Raw genomic sequence first — 21,336 nt, 5'->3', positions numbered from 1 at the left:
AAAAAAAGACAAGGCGCTTAGGGCGGATATCTTGCCTGAGGCCTGAGGTTTGCAGGTTTTTATGAGGTAGCCTAGCGGGCTGTCCTTTGGAAAGGAAGACTGAGAATTTCCCATAACAGAGGGTAGGCTCAGGAGAACAGGGAAAAGGAGACCGTCCTGCATGGCTGGAGGGAGACGATAAAAGAAGCAGTCATCACCGCTGCCTTTTTCGTTCCTGGAACGGGATCAAATGGCTTAGAGGCGACCCCCTAAGACCAGATGATCAGCGAGTGCCTGGCACACGCCAGAGCCTTCTTGGACCAACGTTGGATTTTCGGGCCAGAGAAACCAAGAGAAGCTGTGTGGATTTTTCCCTGTTAATGGGGCTCCAGGGAAACTTACAGGTAGGCAAGATCAGTGACTGATGTGCATGCACAGAGAGGCGATTGGAGACTGAGGAGCTTCCTTTGTCCGGCTGCTGTGGCCTACTCTCCGGGGTGCAGGGGTAGGCCCACAGGGGACACAGACCTGAGCCCCTCCTGGGTTTCGGCACCAGATTAAAGGTTCTTGTATCTGTTTGAACCCCGGGAGCGCGCCAACAAACAACACAAGGTGGTGTGGAGCAACATGCTGTTTTATTGGGCGCCTGGGTGCAGACGGTATGAGACCTAAAATGGCGTCAGCACCAAATGAGTGCTGAGCAGGGGTTTTACAGTGTCCTGTAAACAGGAAGTGTTCCAGTCTGACGGGACTGCTACGCAGCAACCGGATGGCCTCTCGCGATCCTCAGGGGTACATGTCTTCCGGCCAGGGTAAGTGTCTTCCGGCCGGCTCTCTTCCTGCTTCTGCTGTCTTGCTGAGGCGCGCTGCTGGCGCAAGTGGGCTTGTGCCTCCGGACTGGGCCTGAGGAGGGAGGAGTTATTCATCCCCTTAAGCTTTCAGGCCCCGGGGAGAACCTTTCAGGCATAAAGTAATGAACACTAATAAGTGATTTTTAAATTACCCCTGTGATAAGGGCTACGGTTTAGGAATACATAGAAAATGTATCACGGAATTTTCCCTTAGTCTGTAGCGTCAGAGAAGCCTTCCAGGAGAAGTAACTTTGAAAGGCAGATGTGGAAGATGAAGAAAAGGCAGCACAGGAAAGGGAGGAGGCAGGGCTGTCCATGGGTGGCAGGACTTAAGGAGGACCCGTGTAGCTTTGGGAACAAGGGACAGAGTGGCAACAGGTCTTGTTGGAATGTACCTTGAGAGCCCGTCACAGCAGGGAGGTGGCAGAACCAGGTTTGCATTTTTACTTTATTTATTTATTTATTTATTTATTTATTTATTTATTTATTTATTTTTGAGCTGGGGTCTCGCTTCGCCCAGGCTGGAGTGCAGTGGTGCGATCTGGGCTCACTGCAAGCTCTGCCTCCCGGGTTCCCGCCATTCTGCCTCAGCCTCCCGAGTAGCTGGGACTACAGGCGCCCGCCACCACGCCCGGCTAATTTTTTGTATTTTTAGTAGAGACGGGGTTTCACCGTGTTAGCCAGGATGGTCTGGATCTCCTGACCTCGTGATCCGCCCTCCTCGGCCTCCCAAAGTGCTGGGATTACAGGCGTGAGCCACCGCGCCCGGCCACTTTATTTATTTTTTGAGACAGGATCTCACTCTCTCATCCAGGCTGGAGTGCAGTGGCACCATCATAGCTCATTGCAGCCTTGAACTCCTGGGCTTAAGCTATCCTCCTACCTCAGCCTCCCAAGTAGCCGGGACTACAGGCATGCTTCACCATGCCTGGCTAATTTTTTAATTTATTTTTTTGCAGAGACAAGGTTCACCATGTTGCCCAGACTGGTCTTGAACTCCTGGCCTCAGTCTCCCAAAGTGCTGAGATTACAAGTGTGAGCCACCTTGCTGGCCAAGGTTTGTATTTTTAAAGGTGGCCCCGCTGCAGTGGGGTGCAGAGGAGAGAAAAATGGGGTATAAGAGGATAGTGGGGTGCAGGGGGGAGGGACAGTGGGGAAAAAGGGAGAAGATGGTGGGATGCTGGGGAGAGGGCAGCACTGGGGGATTTCAGGTGAGTTTCAAGGCCACTGAGCTAGGACAGGTGAGATTCCAGCATGGTGCAGTTTGGAGGCAACAATATGGGTGAAGAGAAGTACAGAGATTTGAGAAGTATTTGGGTGGCAAGCTGGGAGGCAAACTTCCAGGTTTCTACGTGAGCACAGGGGCGATGTCTTGGGGAGGAAGGAATATTGCAGCAGGAGTTCAGTGTGGAACATGCAGAGTGGAAGGGTAGCCATGGCAGGAGACAGCTGAACATGCAAGTCCAAAGAACAGAGAGAGCTTTAGGCTGCTGGGGAAATGTTGGGGGTCTTGCCCTGTTGCTGTAATTGAAGTTGTGAGAGTAGATGAGGTGGTTGGGGAAGAAAGCACCCACAGACAAGTGGCCAGGCGCGGTGGCTCAGGTTTGTAATCCCAGCACTTTGGGAGGCCAAGGCAGTGGATCACTTGAGCCCCGGAGTTCGAGACCAGCCTGGGCAACATGGAAAAACCTCATCTCTATAAAAAATACAAAAGTAGCTGGTTATGGTGGCATGTGCCTGTAGTCCCAGATACTCTGGAGGGTGAGGTGGAAGGATTGTTTGAGCCCAGGAGGCGGAGGATGCACTGAGCCCTTGATCATGCCACTGTACTCCAGCCTGGGTGACAGAGCAAAAACCTATATTGATATGGTTTGGCTCTGTGTCCCTACCCAAATCTCATCTCAATTTGTAATCCTCGTGTGTTGAGGGAGGAACCTGTAATCCCCATATGTCAAGGGGGGCAGGTGATTGGGTCATGGGGGTGTCCCCCATGCTGTTCTGATGATAGTGAATGAGCTCTTGCGAGATCTGATGGTTTTATAAGTGTTTGGAAGTTCCTCCTTTGTCTCCCTCTCTCCCTCTCTCTCTCTCTCTCTCTCTCTCTCTCTCTCTCTCTCTCGCTGCCTTGTGAAGAAGGTGCCTGCTTCTCCTACCACCATGATTGTAAGTTTCTTGAGGCCTCCACAGACATGTGGATCTGTGAGTTAATTAAGCCTCTTTTATTTAAAAATTACCCAGTCTCAGGTAGTATCTTTATAGCAGTGTGCAAATGGACTAATACATATAGCAAAAAAAGCAAAAACAAACAAAAAACAAAAGCAGACAAGGGAGGCTGGATGCAGAGGGCTGGCTGGGTATTTAAAAGTCAAGAGGGAGTTTGTACTGTTATAAACAAAGGGTTGGATAAATAAATGGGGAGTAGATATCATCTGTGCAGAACTCCAAATGATTTACATAGATGATCTGCCCTCGAGGAGTGGTAGCATAGCACTGCAGCCCTTAGGTGTGGAATGTTTATAGTGACTGCCTCTCCATCTATACAGTGTGGAAAGGAGGAAAGAGTCACTGTATAATGGACAAACCTGACAATCATTACCTGAGGCAGGTGACCAAGGCCAACATCAACAATGATAAGTCAAGTTGACAGTTTGAACCCTTGAGAATGAAGTACTGAGAAGGGCACTTTACCTCTGTGGTCTTTCAACCCCAAACCTTCCTCCCCCAAAACTCTCATCTAACCATGAGAAAATCATCAGACAGACTGGGCAAAGTGGCTCATGCCTGTAATCCCAGCACTTTGGGAGGCTGAGGCAAGAGGATCTCTTGAGCCCATGAGTTCCAGACCAGCCTGGGCAACATAGTGAGATCTCGTCTCTATTTAAAAAAAGAAAAAAGAAAATCATCAGACAAACCTTGATTGAGGGATAGTTTACAAAATACCACAGCACCTCAAAACCATCAAGGTCATCAAAAACAAGAAAGTCTGAGAAACTGTCAGTCAAGGAGAGACTAAGGAGGCAGGACAGCTGGGTGCAACGAGGCATCCTAGATCGATGTCCCGAAACAGTAAAGAGACATAAGGTGAAAACTGAGGAAATCTGAACAAAGCATGGACTTTAGTTAATAACGTTATCTACATTGATTCATTAATTATAACGTGTATCCAACAAATACATTAATAAAATACTAATAATAGAAGAAACTGAGTGCAGAGGTTATGGGAACTCTATGCATTATCTTACCAATTTTTCTGAATGTCTAAAGCTCTCTTCTAAAAACTAAAGTTTACTTTTTAAAAAACTGCTATGAAAATTTTCTCTGGCATCCTAATGTATTGTTTGGGATTCCCGAAGTGGGGAATTAATGAGATAATTTTAGTTTGGCAAATGGATATAGTATTAAAAACATAAAGTTACATACTGAAAAGTTATTCTTTTCTTCAACTCTTCTGGTGAGATCACACAGTGAGTCTTCTTCAGTGCTAGGATGCCTTCATGGCTTCTTTGACACTTACTAATCTCCATTATTTAATGACCTCAAACTCATAGACCCAGCTGGACTCCAGTGTCTACAGTTCAATAGCATTGCTTTGTTTTGAGTTCATCTTCAGGCACCTTTTTTTTTTTTGAGACGAAGTCTCGCTCTGTTGCCCAGGCTGGAGTGCAGTGGCTTGATCTCGGCTCACTGCAAGCTCTGCCTCCTGGGTTCATGCCATTCTCCTGCCTTAGCCTCCTGAGTAGCTGGGATACAGGCACCCGCCACCACGCCTGGCTAATGTTTTTATTTTTTTATTTTTAGTAGAGACGGGGTTTCACCGTGTTAGCCAGGATGGTCTTGATCTCCTGACCTCGTGATCCACCCGCCTCAGCCTCCCAAAGTGAGATTACAGGCGTGAGCCACCGCCCCTGGCCCTTAGACACCCTTTCTTTATGGCAAATGCTACCGGTTGTCCTTTTGTGTGAGCAATCTGAAGTTTCTTTAAAGAACTTGATTGCAGTTGTTAAAAGGAAGAACTTCAAGTATACTGGTTGACAATGGTGACTTTTACCTGAGCCCTGTGAGTGTGAATCAAAACAATCTTCCTACCCTTTGTGTCCTGGAAATGGCTTCCAGCTGATAACCTACAGGTCCAAATTAACTACCTGGAGAAGGTTTTATGATTCGTGGCTTACATCCTGTCCCTGAGTAAAAAATCTTTGCGTTGAGTTCCTCAAATCTCATCGTGCCTCCCCTTCTATTCCAAAAAAATAGCTACTAAGATTTAAAAAAAAAAAAAAAAGTAAAAAAAATGACATACCTTCCTCACAGTTTGTGGACAGAGGACAGACAGAACTCAAAGTCATCCCTCTGCTCACTGGGATAAATGCGTATCTGATGACTTCCTTTGTAAAGGCTAATCAGAAACTCAAAAGAATGCAACCCTTTGTCTCTTATCTACCTATTACCTGGAAGCCCCATCCTCGCTTCAAGTTGTCCTGCCTTTCCAGACTGAACCAATGGACATTTTGTATGTGCTGATTGATGTCCTATGCCTCCCTAAAATGTATAAAACTGAGCTGCGCCCCGACCACCTTGGCACATGTCATCAGGACCTCCTGAGGCTGTGTCACGGGTGTGTCCTCAACCTTGGCAAAATAAACTTCCTAAATTGACTGAGACTTGTCTCAGATACTCTTTGATTTACAAAACATTTATCAAATTATGTCTGCCTCCACAGCCTTAATTTAGTTGACACAGCAAAGAACTTCCCTTCTTCACATGACTTAGATCTCTCTAAGAGATGTCCCCTTGTTGACCTGGCACAAGGCCACACACAGACCTTCCGAATTCCCACTCATTGCCCCACAAATGATTAGGCTGACTCTCTGTACTCACCGATCCACCAGAACAGAGTGCTGGTTAGCCAAACTCTCCTTCTCCCGGGCCCCTGATCCTGGACCCACCCTCAGCCTGGAGCAGCAGACAGCCCCTCCAGAGAACAGGCTGGACGCTGGATAAAACATTCTCTATCTACTCTCCATTCACCCCACCTCCCACCCATCCCTTCATGAGGCTCCTCCCATTTCCCCACACTTCATTCTTCTTAGCTTTAGTCACTCTTCCCTCTAGAAGAAAAACCCCTTTCTACCCAACCTTTGAGATGCTGGCAGATTTCATTTTAGGAGCGTTCTCCCTATTGAAATAGTCCCCCTCTTCCTATTACAACAGCCCCTTCCCCTTCCTCTTGTAATAATCCTTTTCTATAAAGTGACTCCTTACCAAGTCTGGAGTTTTTTTTGTACTTGACACAGTACAGGTGGTATTCGCAGTGGCGATGTAATGAAAGTGGTCTGTGAATAAATTAAGAATCAGAAATGCTGTAGTCATAAGACAAAATAAGACAGTGATTTGGGGAGATATCTTCCCATATTCATTTTGAATCCTTGCTGTTCGGCTGGATGCTGTAATAATCGTGAGCTCATGTCTTTGTCACGCAGGCTAAAAAAAGCACCTGGATTTGGGGGGTGTTTAATAATATTCTGGGTGTGGTGGTGCAAGCCTGTAGTCCCAACTACTCAGGAGGCTGAAGCTGGAGGATGGTTTAAGCCCAGAGTTCAAGTCCAGCCTGGGTCACATTGCCAGACCTCATCTCAAAACTAAATAAACAGGCCAGGTGCCACGGCAAATACCTGTAACCAGCACTTTGGGAGGCCAAGACGGGCAGATCACTTGAGCCCAGGAGTTCGAGACCAACCTGGATAATGTGGTGAAACCCAGTCTCTACTAAAAATACAAAAAATTAGCTGGCTGTGGTGGTGAGCACCTGTAGTCAGCTACTCAGGAGGCTAAGGTGGGAGGATCGCTTGAGCCCAGGGAGTTGAGGCTGCAGTGAGCCATGATCATGCCCCTGCGTTCCAGCCTGGGCAACGACAATGAGATTCTGTCTCAAACAAAAATGAATAAATAAAAATAAATAAACAAACGTGTCTAATCAACTCATCTGTTTAACTAACATTGCATATATTGCATATGTGCTTTTCTTTATTTATGTTTTCTTTTTCTTTTCTTTCTTTTCTTTTTTTTTTTTTGATACTAGTTCTCCCTCTGTCACCCAGGCTGGAGTGCAGTGGCATGATCATGGCTTACTGCAACCTTGAACTCCTGGACTCAAGCAGTCCTCCCATCTCAGCCTCTGGACTACAGGTGTGTGCCACTACACCTGGCTAGTTAAGAAAATTTTTTTTGTAGAGATGGGGGTCTCGCTATGTTGCACAGGCTGGCCTTGAACTCCTGGGCTCAAGTGATCCTCCTGCCTAGGCCTCTGAAAGCACTGACATTATAGGCATGAGCCATCAGGCTCGGCCGACATCTTGATTTGTAGCCCACTGTGGCCCATGTGAGATGTCTGACTCCAGAATTGCAAGATAATAAATATATCTTATTTATTTATGTATTTATTTTGAGACAGAGTTTCATTCTTGTTGCCCAGGCTGGAGTGCAATGGCACGATCTCAGCTCACTGCAACCTCCACCTCCCAGGTTCAAGGGAATTCTCCTGCTTCAGCCTCCCGAGTAGCTGGGACTACAGGCATGCGCCACCACACCCGCATAATTTTGTATTTTTAGTAGAGACGGGGTTTCTCCATGTTGCTCAGGCTGGTCTCAAACTCCCGACCTCAGGTGATCTGCCCGCCTCGGCCTCCCAAAGTGCTGGGAATACAGGCGTGAGCCACCATGCTCAGCCTAAATATATTTTATTTTAAACAATTAAATTTGTGGTAATTTTTATAGCACCAATAGGAAATTAATACAACACACATCTATAGTTATATATGCTATATATACATGCTATTGTATGTATAAAATATTTTTGAGAGATTTACATAGCAATGTTAACATCATTTCCTCTGGAAAACGGAACTGAAGGTCTAGGTGATAAAAGGTCACAGGGAGATTTTTCGTGTTATTTTGGTTTGTCCTTTTGAATTTTGAAGGTTTTTTTTTTTTTCTTTTTTTCTTTTTTTTGGAGACAGAGTCTTGCTCTGTTGCCCATACTGGAGTGCAATGACATGATTTCGGCTCACTGCAACCTCCACCTCCTGAGTTCAAACGATTCTCCTGCCTCAGCCTCCCTAGTAGCTGGTATTACAGGCACACAACATCACGTCTGGCTAATTTTTATATTTTTAGCAGAGATGGGATTTCGCCATGTTGACCAGACTAGTCTTGAACTCCTGACCTCAAGTGATCTGCCTGCCTTGGCCTCCCAAAGTATTGGGATTACAAGCGTAAGCCACCACGCCCAGCCTGAGTACTGTTTTTTTGTTGTTGTTGTTGTCTGTTTGTTTGTTTGTTTTTTGGAGGTGGAGTCTCGCTCTGTCATCCAGATTGGAGTGCAGTGGCGCCATCTCAGCTCACTGCAGCCTCAACCTCCCGGGTTCAAGTGATTCCCCTGCCTCAGCCTCCCGAGTAGCTGGGATTACAGGCACATGCAACCACACCCGGCTAATTTTTGTACTTTTTTTAGTAGAGATGGGGTTTCACCATGTTAGTCAGGCTGGGCTTGAACTCCTGACCTCAGATAATCTACCTGCCTCGGCCTCCCAAAATGCTGGAATTACAGGCATGAGCCACAGTGCCCAGCCCCTGAGTTAATTTTTTTTTTTTTCTTTTTGAGACGGAGTCTCGCTCTGTCGCCCAGGCTGGAGTGCTGTGGCGCGATCTCGGCTCACTGCAAGCCCCGCCTCCCGGGTTCACACCATTCTCCTGCCTCAACCTCCAGAGTAGCTGAAACTACAGGAGCCCGCCACTACGCTCAGCTAATTTTTTGTATTTTTTAGTAGAGACGGTTTCACTGTGTTAGCCAGGACGGTCTTGATCTCCTGGCCTCGTGATCCACCCGCCTCAGCCTCCCAAAGTGCTGGGATTACAGGCGTGAGCCACCGCGCCCGGCCCTGAGTACATTTTTAAACATTGAATTAAATTTAAATACTTTTCTTTTCTTTCTTTTTTTTTTTTTTTTTTGTTGTTGTTGTTGTTGTTGTTGAGACGGAGTCTTGCTCTGTCGCCCAGGCCGGAGTGCAGTGGCGTGATCTCGGCTCACTGTAACCTCCGCCTCTGGGGTTCAAGAAATTCTCCTGCCGTCCGGCCTGGGCGACAGAGCGAGACTCCGTCTCAAAAAAAAAAAAAGAAAGAAAGAAAGAAATTCTCCTGCCTCAGCCTCTTGAGTAGCTGGGACTACAGGCGCCTGCCACCACGCCTGGCTTTTTTTTTTTTTTTTTTTTTTTTTTTTTTTTTTTTCTGTATTTTTAGTAGAGACGCGGTTTCTTCATGCTGGCCAGGCTGGTCTCAAACTCCTGACCTCGTGATCTGCCCACCTCAGCCTCCCAAAGTGCTGGGATTACGGGTGTGAGCCACCATGCCCAGCCTTAAAAACTTTTTTATATAAAAATTAGCCAGGCGTGGTGGCATGCACCTGTAATCCCAGTTACTGACTGAATGGAAATCAGCCTGACTCCCAGGCTGACACGGGAGGATCCCTTGAGCCTGGGAGTCCGAGGCTGCAGTGAGCTGAGATCGTGCCACTACTCTCCAGCCTGGGTGACAGAGCAAGACCTGTTTCAAAACAAACAAAAAAACCATTTTCTTCTTGGTGGATTTCTCTGCTGTATGTCCTAGGCAATCTCTATCCCTTCAACATTAAAGGGAGAATGTACTGTCCCAGTGCTGTGGTTTGAATATGGCTTGTCCCCACAAAAACTCATGTTGAAACCTAATTCCCAATGTGGCAGTGTTGAGAAATGGGACCTTTTTAGGAGGTGATTGTACCATGAGGCCTCTGCTCTCATGAATGAGTTACTCATTCATGGATTACCTGATTAATGGGTTATCATAGGAATGGAGCTGGCAGCTTAATAAGTAAAGGAAGAGAGACCTGAGCTATCGCACTCAACCCCGTTGCTATGTGATGCCCTGGCCTACCTTGGAACTCTGCAGAGTCTCCACTAGAAAGAAGGTCCCTTACAAGATGCAGCCCTCCACTCCTCTCAGTTCAGTCTACTCCAGCTCACTCAACTCCTCTCCATTCCATTTCACTTATTCCGTTCTACTTCATTTGTTTCCATCCCACTGCACTCCGTTCTGTTCTATTCTGGTCTATTCTAGTCTGTTCTATTCCATTACACACCACTCTACTTCATTTTGTCTTATTCTATCCTACCCCATTCTACTCCACTCTATTTCATTTTGCTTATTCTATTCCATTTCATTCTATACTATTTCATTTCATTTTACTCCACTCCACTCCATTCTATTCTATTCCCCTCCCTTCCATTATACTTCACTCCCTTCATTTCACTCCATCCCATTTTATTCTATTCTTTCTATTCTCTTCCATTCTTTTTCATTTTACTTCACTATTCCACACCACTCCATTCCATTGTATTATATTCTATTCAGTTATATTCTGTTTCACTACAATCCATCCCATTTTTTCCAATTTATTCTATTTTATTCAATTTCATTCTTTTTATTTGTTTGTTTTTTGTTTTTTTGAGATGGAGTCTCAATCTTTGCCAGGCTGGAGTGCAGTGGCGCGATCTCGGCTCACTGAAACCTCTGCCTCCCGGGTTCAAGCGATTCTCCTGCCTCAGCCTCCCGAGTAGCTGGGATTATAGGCACGTGCCACCACGCCTGGCTAATTTTTGTATTTTTGGTAGAGACGGGGTTTCACCATGTTGGTCAGGCTGGTCTCGAACTGCTGACCTCATGATCCGCCCACCTCGGCCTCCCAAAGTGCTGGGATTACAGGCGTGAACCACTGTTCCTGGCCAATTTCATTCTTTTCAATTCCCTTCCACTGCATTCTGTTATATTCTATGCCATTCTACTCCTCTCTATTCTACTCCACTCCTTTGCATTCTAGTTTATTATGTTCAATTATATTCTGTTTTATACCACTCCATTTTATTTCAATTTATTCTAGTCTAGTCTATTTCATTTTACTCCATTCCATTCTGTTCTATTCTACTCTATTACATTCCATTCCACTCCACTCCATTCTTATTCCATTCCATTCTATTTCATTATGCTCCATTGTATTCCACTCTACTCAACATCATTCTGTTCAATTCAATTGTCTTTCACTATACTTCACTTGCCTTCATTCCATTCCGTTCTGTCTATTCCATTCCACTCCATTCCATCCTATTCAATTCTATTTCATTCTATCTTACTCTATTCCATTACACTCTAATTGATTCTAATATATTCCATTCCACTTCATTCTAATCTATTCCATTTCTTTCCACTGTATTCCATTCCATTCATTTCCACTCCACTCCCTCGACTTCACTGCACTCCATTCCTTCCCACTCTATTCTACTCCACTCCACCACATTCCACTTCACTCCATTCCATTATATTTCAGTCTAGTCAACTCTATTCTGCTTTATTTCACTCCTGTCCTACTCCATTCCATCCCACTCCATTCTGTTCCATTTCACTCCACTCCTATTCTATTTCATTCAACTCTGTTCTATTCCACTTCACACCATTCTGTTCAATTCAATTTAACCCAATTCTATTCTTTCTATTCTATTCCATTACATTCTCTCTACTTGTCTCCTATTCTATTCCACTCGCTTTTTTTTTTTTTTTTGAGATGGAGTCTCACTCTGTCACCTAGGCTGGAATCCAGTGGCATGATCTCAGCTCACTGCAACCTCTGCCCCCCAGGCTCAAGGGATTCTCTTGCCTCAGCTTCCTGAATAGCTGGGGTTACAGGCACATGCCACCGCGCCCGGCTAATTTTTGTATTTTTAGTAGAGATGGGGTTTCACCATGTTGGCCAGGGTGGTCTCGAAGTCCTGGCCTCAAGTGATCCACCCGCCTCAGTCTCCCATATAGAATGGAAATAGCTCCATAATGGACATCCTACATCAGAGGCCACCACGTCCCTGCAGAACAGTAGGATTTAGCTAGCTATGGTCCTATAGGGGAGAGCCATTAGCTAGTCTACATAACCAACAATATGCAGCCTATGGCATTCACAGGAAACATGGCAATTCCTATTGCAGTGACCTCTCCTATTTAGAGACTTTCTCACATGAAGTCTGCGTAGTCACAAGGCATATTTACGCTAGACCCAACACTTTTTCAGTCATGATTCATCCTTGCCCTGATTCTATGTAAATCAAAGATGTTTAAACCTCCCTATATCCTGAGTTGGCAATAATTAACCAGGTTACCACACTAGTTCAACATACTGACAAGAAAACATAAAGGAGGCATATAATTACTTGGCCTACACACCTTACGATGTGGGGACCATCTTCTGTTCTCCTCTGAGGACTTCCACTAGCTGAAGAAACCATGAGACATCTGAGAGCAACCCCCTCCTTTCCATTGCAACAGTGCTAAAAGCACTCCAGGCCTTCATGCCTGCTGAGCCCTTCTCAGTGTGATCCTCATAAGCTTGCCTGCCAACTGCACAGCTCCCTTGGAGGAGTCCTCTTCCATGTCACTATTATTAGATGACTGTTATGAGCTGCTTTTCTCCATGTCAATCATCCACATTTTTGCCTATGGGAGGAAATTTAGCCTATACCCCTAAGGACTGATGGATATATTCAGCTAAATAAGACTTCCTAGACACTAAAAATTTTCAAAGGCATGATTATTAATCTCAAATGAATAAGTATAAACTAAACAAAAATAAAATTATTTTTATGTAGCACAAAATACTTCTAAAATAGAGTAAATATTAGTCATAAAGAAATCCTTAATTGTTTAAAAATATCAATATTATAAAATTGGTTTTTTGAGAAAAAAAGGAAAACTTGCAAACTTAAAAAAAATTTTACCTTTTATTGATATGTAATAGATGTGTGTATTTTTGGGGTAGATGTCATAATTGGATACATTTATATAATCAAATTCCAAATATGTTTTATGAAGTAAATAGAACGTTGGTACCAAATACTAACAAAGATGGTATCAAAAGAAAAAAAACAGCAGATCATTCATATTTATTAACATCAATGAAAAAACCTTCTATAAAATGTTATAAATGTAAACCATTAGCTTATTAAAAATAATAGACTTTCCAGTGAAAGAGATTAACCAATCTAGAAAAAGGAAAATAGATCCACTTGAAAAACGAATAAATGTATGGTGATATCTAAAGCAATGGGGGAAGACATATTAAGACAAGTCATGTGGGAATAACTAGATAGTAATATGGATAAGAATAAAGCTTAAATCATATTATAAACCATAAAAGTAAATGCATGCAAATAGCAAAGTTTCCATATATTCCATTCTAATTAAAAAAAAAAATGCCAGAATAAAATGCATAGATGAATCATTGTATAAATGGGAGCATGGAAAACTTTCTCACTATGTCTCAAATCCTGAAACAATGAAGGAAAATATTAATATATTTGACTACATAGAGTTTTTAAACTAATCTGCTTAGTAATATTAAGCATAAGTCACATTTAAGTGTAGTAAAACTATAAGTAAACATAAGTAAAAATTAAGCATGAAGCAAAATTAAGGGAAGGGCAGAGCAAGACGGCAGAACAGGCTTCACTAATCATTCTCCTGCGAGGACACCAATTTAACATCTACAAAAAAAACCACCTTTATAAGAACTAAAAATCAACTGTGAACTCACAGTACCTGGTTTTAACTTCATATTGCTGAAAGAGGCATTGAAGAGGTAGGAAAAACAGTCTTGAATCACAAACACCATCCCTCCCCCATTCCCAAGCAGCTGTGGCATGGTGCGGAGAGTGATTCTGTGCACTGGAGAGAGGCAAAGTGCAACAACTGTGAGGCATTGAACTCAGTGCTGCCCTGTTAGAGCAGAAAACAAAATGGAACAAAACTCAGCTGATGCCCATCAATGGAAGGAGCATATAAACAAGCTCTAGCCAGAGGGAAATCGCCAATCCCAGCAGTCAGAACCTGCAAGCCTCACTGCCACAGGCTAAAGTGCTCCAGGGCCCTAAATAAACTTGAAAGGCATTCTAGGCTACAAGGGCTGCAACTCCTAGGCAAGTTCCTGTGCTGAACTGGGCTCATAGCCAGTGGGCTGTGGGGGCACATGACCCACTGAGACACCAGCTGGAGCAATTAAGGGAGTGCTGGCATTACTCCTCCCTACACCCAGGCTGCAGAGTTTGTAGTTCTAAAAGTGATTAAGGGAGTGCTGGCATTACCCCTTCCCCACACCCAGGCTGCAGAGTTTGTAGTTCTAAAAGAGAACACTTACTTCCACTTGAGGAGAGGAAAGGGAAGAGTGGTAGGACTTTGTCTTTACCTTGGATACCAACCCAACCACGGCAGAATAGGGTACCAGTCAGAGTTGTGAGGCCCCTTTTCCAAGCCCTGGCTCCTGGACATTTCTAGACACACGTGGGTTCAGAAGGGAACCCAGTACCTTGAAAGGAAGAACACAGGCCTGCCAGGAATCATCACCCACTAACTGAAGAGCCCTTGGGCCCTGAATAAGGAGCATGATACCCAGGCAGTAAGTCATGGTGAGACTCTGAGATGTTCTGGTTTTAGGTGAGACTCGGCACATTACCATCTGTGCGGCTATGGGGCAAGACTCCTTCTGCTTGAGAAAAGCAGAGGGAAAAGTAAAGGGGACTTTATTTTGCACCTTAGGTACCAGCTTGGCAACAGGGGAGTAGAGCACCAAGCAGGCTCTTGGGGTCCTCAATTCAAGGACTTGGGTTTTTTATGGTGATATGGCTTGGATCTGTGTCCTCACCCAAATCTCATGTTCAGTTGTAATTCCTAAAGTTGGAGGTGGGGCCTGGTGAGAGGTGACTAGATCATGGGGGTGGTTTCTCATGAATAATTTAACACTATCCCCCCTTGGTACTGTCATCACAATAGTGAGTGAGTTCTCATGAGATCTGGTTATTTAAAAGCATGTAGCCCCTCCCCCATCTTTCTCTTGCTGCTGTGGCCATGTGACATGCCTGCTCCCCCTTCATCTTCCACCATGACTGTAAGTTTCCAGAGGCCTCCCCAGAAGCTAAGCAGTTGCCAGCATCATGCTTCCTGTACAGCCTGTGGAATCCTGAGCCAATTGAGCCTCTTTTTACTATACATTAACCAGTTTCAGATGTTTGTTTATGGCAATGCAAGAACAGCCTAATACAGAAAATTGGTACTGAGGAGTGGGGCATTGCTATAAAGATACCTGAAAATATGAAGTGACTTTGAAACTGGGTAACAGGCAGAAGTTGGAAGAGTTTGTAGGGTTCAGAAGAAGACAGGAAGATGATGGAAAGTTTGGAATATCCTACAGATTGGTTAAATGGTTGTGTCCAAAATGCTGATAGTGATAGGGACATGAAAGTCCAGGCTGTCAGATGGAAATGAGGAGCTTATTAAGAAATGGAGCAAAGGTCACTTTTGTTATGCCTTAGCAAAGAACTTGGCTGCTTTGTGTATCTGCCCTAGAAATTTGTGGAGCTTTGAACTTGAGAATGATGATTTAGTGTATCTGGTGGTAGACATTTCTGAACAACAAAACATTCAAGAAGTAGAGTGGTTGCTTCCAAAAGCTTATGCTTATATGCATGAGCAAAGAAATGATCTAAAGTTGGAACTTATATTTAAAGGGGATGCAGAGCATAACAGTTTGGAAAATTTGCAGCATGGCCATGTGGTAGAAAAGAAAAGCCCAAAAACTGGCTAGCCATATGCAGAAAACTGAAACTGGACCCCTTCTTTACACCTTATATAAAAATTAACTCAAGATGGATTAAAGACTTAAATGTAAAACCCAAAACCAGAAAAACCCTAGAAGAAAACCTAGGCAATACCATTCAGGACATAGGCATGGGCAAAGACTTCATGACTAAAACACCAAAAACAGTTGCAACAAAAGCCAAAATTTACAAATGGGATCTAATTAAACAGCTTCTGCACAGCAAAAGAAACTAGCATCAGAGTAAACAGGCAACCTATAGAATGGGAGAAAATTTTTGCAATCTACCCACCTGACAAAGGGTTAATATCCAGAATTTACAAGGAACTTAAATCTACAAGAAAAAAACAAACAACCCCATCAAAAAGTGGGCAAAACATATGAACAGACACTTTTCAAAAGAAGAAATTTATGTGGCCAAAAAACAAGAAAAGGTCAACATCACTGATCATCAGAGAAATGCAAATCAAAACCATAATGAGATACCATCTCATATTAGAAAGGCGATTTTTAAAAAGTCAGGAAACAACAGATGTTGTAGAGGATGTGGAGAAATAGGAACGCTTTTACATTGTTGGGACTGTAAATTAGTTCAACCATTGTGAAAAACAGTATGGTGATTCCTCAAGGATGTAGAACCAGAAATACCATTTGACCCAGCAATCCCATTACTGGGTATATACCCAAAGGAATATAAATCACTGTACTATAAAGACACATGCACATGTATGTTTATTACAGCACTATTTACAATAGCAAAGACATGGATCAAACCCAAATGCCCATCAAGGATAGACTGGATAAAGAAAATGTGGTACATATGCACCATAGAATACTATGCTGCCATGAAAAGGAATGAGATAATATCCTTTGCAGAGACATGGATGAAGCTGGAAGCCATCATCCCCAGCAAACTGACACACAGGAAGAGAAAACCAAACACTGCATGTTCTCACTCATAAGTGGGAGTTGAACAATGAGAACACATGGACACAAAGAGGGGAACAACACACACCAGGGCCTGCTGGGGTCTGTGGGGTGAGGGGAGGGAACTTAGAAGATGGGTCAATAGGTGTAGCAAACCACCATGGCACACGTATACCTATGTAACAAACCTGCACATTCTGCACGTGTATTCCTTTTTTTTTTTTTTTTAAAGAAGAAATAAGAAAAGTCCATTTTCAGGGGAGGAATTCAAGCATGCTGTAGAAATTTGCATAAGTAGAAATGAGTCAAGTGCTGATAGCTAAGACAATAGGGAAAAGGCCTCAAAGGCATTTCAGAGACCTTGGCAAGAGCCCCTCCCATCACAGGCCCAAAGGCTTAGGAGGGAAAAATGGTTTTATGTAACATGACCAGGGCTCACCCTGCACAGCCTTGGGACACAACTCCCTGCATCCCACCCATTCCAGTTCCAGCCTTGGCTCAAAAAGGCCCAGGCACAGTTCAGGCCACTGCTTCAGAGGGTGCAAGCTGTAAGCCTGGTGGCTTCCACGTGGTGTCAAGCCTGTGGGTGCACAGAGTACAAGAGTTGAGGCCTGGGAGCCTCCACCTGGATTTCAGAGGATATGTGGGAAAGCCTGGGTATTCAGGTGGAAGCCTGCTGCAGAGGCAGATCCCACATGGGGAACCTCTACTAGGGCAGTGTGGAGGGGAAATGTGTAGCCCCCACACAGAGTCCCCTCTGGGTCACTGCCTAGTGGAGCTGTAAGAAGGGAGCCACCACCCTCTAGACCCTGGAATGGTAGATCCACTGGCAGCTTACTCCCTGTGTCTGGAAATGGTGCAGGCAATCAACACCAGTTTGTGAGATCAGCCACTGGGGGCAAACCCTGCAAAGTCACAGGGGTGGAGCTGCCCAGGGTCTTGGGAGCCCATCCCTTGCACCAGTGTGCTACGGATTTGAGACATAAAGTCAAAAGAAATTATTTTGGAGCTTTAAGATTTATGACTGCCCTGCTGGGTTTCAAACTTGCATGGGGCTAGGAGCCCCTTTCTTTTGGCCAATGTCTCCCTTTTGGAACAGGAGTATTTACCCAATGCCTATGCCCCCATTGTATCTTGGGAGTAACTAACTTGTTTTTTATTTTACAAGTTCATAGGTGGAAGAGACTTGCTTTGTCATAGATGAGAATTTGGACTTTGGACTTTTGAGTTAATTCTGGGATGAGTTTAGACTTTGGGGCACTGTTGGGAAGGCATGATTATGTTTTGCAATGTAAGAATAAATTAACACAGATGGCATTTCTGGATGTGCCCTGGACCACAGGGGAGCCTGCTGCCCTGAAGGGTGAGTCTAGGTCAGGCAAAATTTGCCACAAGCTGGATGGAGAGCCCTTGGGCCTTCAGGGGACATCAGCAGCAGTGTTGTAATACTGCCCATGGGCCTGTGCTGGTGGCCATGGGGTGAGGGTCCTCTGCCTTTGGAAAAGGGAGGAAGAATGGGAACTACATCTTGTGGCTGGAGCGCTAGTTCAGCTGCAGAACAGTATTACACTAGGTAGTCTTCTAAGGTTTTTGACATTAGTCCTTGCCTCCCAGATAGCACCTCTGGACATGTCCCTGGCCTGGGGGAGCTCACCACGCTGAAGGAACAAACATAGGCTTGGCTGACTTTGCCACATGCTGATTGTGGAGCCCCAGAGCTTTGAGCAAACAAAGGCTGTAGCAAGAAAGGGGTTACAGGAGGCCTTGGGTGAGACCCAGTTCTGTGCTTGTTTTGGGACTGACCCAGCACAGCTCTAGAAGCGGTGGCCATAGGAGTACTTGTGTCACCCCACTGCCAGCTCCAGGTGGCTCAAAACAGAAAGAAAGAGAGACTGTTTAGAAGAAAGTAAGAAGAGAAAACAAGACTCTTTGCCTTGTAAATCAGAGAATTCTTCCAGATCTTGTGGAAGACCATCAAGGCAGTACTTCCATGAGTCTGCAAGAACCACAGCATTAGTGGGCTTAGGGTGCCCCCTAAAGCAGATACAACTTAGATCATAACACCCAAGTCCTTTTGAATATCTGAAAAGCCTTCCCAAGAAGAATGGGAACAAACAAGCCCAGACTATAAAGACTACAATAAATACCTAATTATTCAATGCCTGGGCACAGACAGACATTTACAAGTATCAAGATCATCCAGGAAAACATGACCTCACCAAATGAATTAAATAAGGCAACAGAGATCAATCCTGGAGAAACAGAGATATGTGGCCTTTCAGACAGAGAATTCAAAATTCAGACAGAGAATTTGAAGAGTATTTTTGCCAGATATACTACTCTAGGATAAAAGGTTTTTTTTTTTTTTCCTTCTTCAGCATGTTAAATATATCATGCCATTCTCTTCTGGCTTATAAGGTTTCCACTAAAAAGTCTGCTGCCAGACATATTGAAGCTCTATTGTGTGTTGTTTCTTTTCTCTCGCTTCTTTTAGGATCCTTTCTTTATTGTTGACTTTTGGGAGTTTGATTATTAAATGCCTTGAGGTAGTCTTCTTTGGGTTAAATCTGCTTGATGTTCTAATGTGTAACCTTCTTTAGTTGGATATTGGTATGTTTCTCTAGGTTTGGGGAGTTCTGTGTTGTTTTTCTGTATGATCTTTCTACCTCTATCTTTCTCTACCTCTTTATAGCCAACAATTCTCAGATTTGCCCTTTTGAGGCTATTTTCTAGATCTTATAGATGTGTCTCATTCTTTTTTATTCTTTTCCTTTTGCTTGTTTCTTTGTGCAAACAGTGCTGTTATCGGCTGAAAATAATGAGTTATAAGATAGTATTTGCAAGCCTTATGGTAACCTCACACCAAAAAACATACAACGAACACACCAAAAATAAAAAGCAAGAAACTAAATTTTATCACCAGAGAAAACCACCATAACTAAAAGGAAGACAGAAAGAAAAAGAAAGAAGGAAGAGAAGAAGAGAAGCCCACAAATCAACCAGAAAACAAATAACAAAATAGCAGGAGTAAGTCCTTACTTAACAATAATAACATCAAATTTAAATGGACTAGACCTTCTAATTCAAAGACATAGACTGACTCTGAATGGACACAAAAACAAGACCCAACGATCTGTTGCCTACAACCTGTAAAGACACACGTAAACTAAAAATAAAGGGATGAAAAAGATATTCCTTGCCAATGAAGACCAAAAACAGCAAGAGTAGCCATATTTATATCAGCCAAAAGAGATTTCTAAAGAAAAACTATACAAAGAGAAAGAAAGCCACTATATAATGATAAAGGGGTCAATTCAGCAAGAGAATATAACAATGTTAAATATATATACACCTAATACTTGAGGACCCAGATACATAAAGCAAATATTATTAGAATTAAAGAGAGAGATAGACCCCAATACAATAATGACTAGAGACTTTAACATCCCACTTTCAGCATTGAATAGATCTTCCAGATAGAAAATCAACAAAGAAACATAAAACTTAGGCTTGACATGGTGGCTTACACCTGTAATCCCTGCACGTAGGAAGGCCAAGGCAGGAGGATCATTTGAGCCCAGGAACTTGAGACCAGCCTGGGCAACACAGTGAGACCCTATCTCTATAAATTTAAAATACATATATATATGTGTGTGTGTGTATATATATGTATATATATGTGTGTGTATATATATGTATATATGTGTGTGTATATATATGTATATATGTGTGTGTATATATATGTGTGTGTGTGTATATATATATATATATATAAAAGAAACATTGAACTTAATCTACAATATAGACCAAATGGACCTAATAGGTATTTACAGAACGTTTCATCCAACAGCTGCAGAATTCACACTCTTTTCCTCACAATATTAATTATTCTCAAGGATAGACTGTATGTTATATCACAAAACAAGTCTTAAAATATTCAAAAAATTGAAGTAATATCAATCATTTTCTGTGACCACAGTGGAATAAAACTAGAAATCAATAGCAAGAAGGACTGGGCATGGTGGCTCACGCCTGTATTCCCAGCACTTTGGGAGGCCGAAGCAGGCAGATCACTTGAGGTCAGGAGTTTGTGACCAGCCTGGCCTGTTCTGGAAACCATCCCCACACCACCCAGTGGGCACCCCAATTCCGGCAGACACAAAGGAGTTAGAAAGAGACAGAATAAGCATTTAAAAGGCGGGTCCAGGGAGCCGGAGCATCGGAGGTTTGCTCAGGGCCCAGAGCTCTCAGGCTCTGCCCAATTTATTGGTTTACAAGCTCTTTACTCTTAGGGCAGATGGGAGGGAGAGAAAGGGATGAGGAAAAGGATTAATCAGTGAAGGAGAATTCATGAGTCATTCGATAAGATGTATAGCAGTGGCAGTTTCTGTGAATTTTCCTTGAGCAAAGGCATGTGTCTAAACTACTTAAGATCTTAAACTTATTGGGACTGAAATGGGTGGGAGTGGGGTTCAGGAGAAGCCCAGATGTTTGATTATACTCCACTGCTTCAAGGGAGTGTTATCTCCCTGAGCAACCTGTGGAATGCCGCTGAGCTGTTATGCTCTCAGGGTATAAAGACATGAAGGCAATAAGGAGACTTTTCTGCTCAGAGGCCACCCATGGCTTCCCATGGGTGTCTCATACAGGGGAGACCAACTCAAGTGGCACCCTAGAAACTCTTTCCCACACTGGCCAACAGGGTGAAACCCTGTCTCTACTAAAAATACAAAAATTAGCCGGGCATGGTGGCACAAGCCTGTAATCCCAGCCACTGGGAGGCTGAGGCAGGAGAATTGCTTGAACCCAGGAGGCAGATGTTGCAGTGAGCCAAGCTCATACTACTGGACTCCAGCCTGGGCAACA

The 21,336-nt window shown here is 43.8% G+C and overlaps 1 long non-coding RNA gene across 1 annotated transcript; it reads right to left on the bottom strand.

Moving 5' to 3' along the window:
- Nucleotides 1-595: 595 nt before the first annotated feature.
- On the bottom strand, nt 596-13,647 carry LOC105373273 (uncharacterized). Its single transcript, XR_949366.3, has 3 exons — nt 13,494-13,647; nt 6,090-6,160; nt 596-882 (listed from the first exon to the last, which is right to left on the bottom strand). It is a non-coding gene; the product is annotated as an uncharacterized LOC105373273 (long non-coding RNA).
- Between the last annotated feature and the right edge of the window lie 7,689 nt (nt 13,648-21,336).

This window comes from Homo sapiens, chromosome 1 (genome assembly GCF_000001405.40).
Source record: "Homo sapiens chromosome 1, GRCh38.p14 Primary Assembly".
Lineage (NCBI taxonomy): Eukaryota > Metazoa > Chordata > Mammalia > Primates > Hominidae > Homo > Homo sapiens.
The sequence above is the reverse complement of the archived record's forward strand: the minus strand, read 5'-3'. Positions and strand labels throughout refer to the sequence as shown.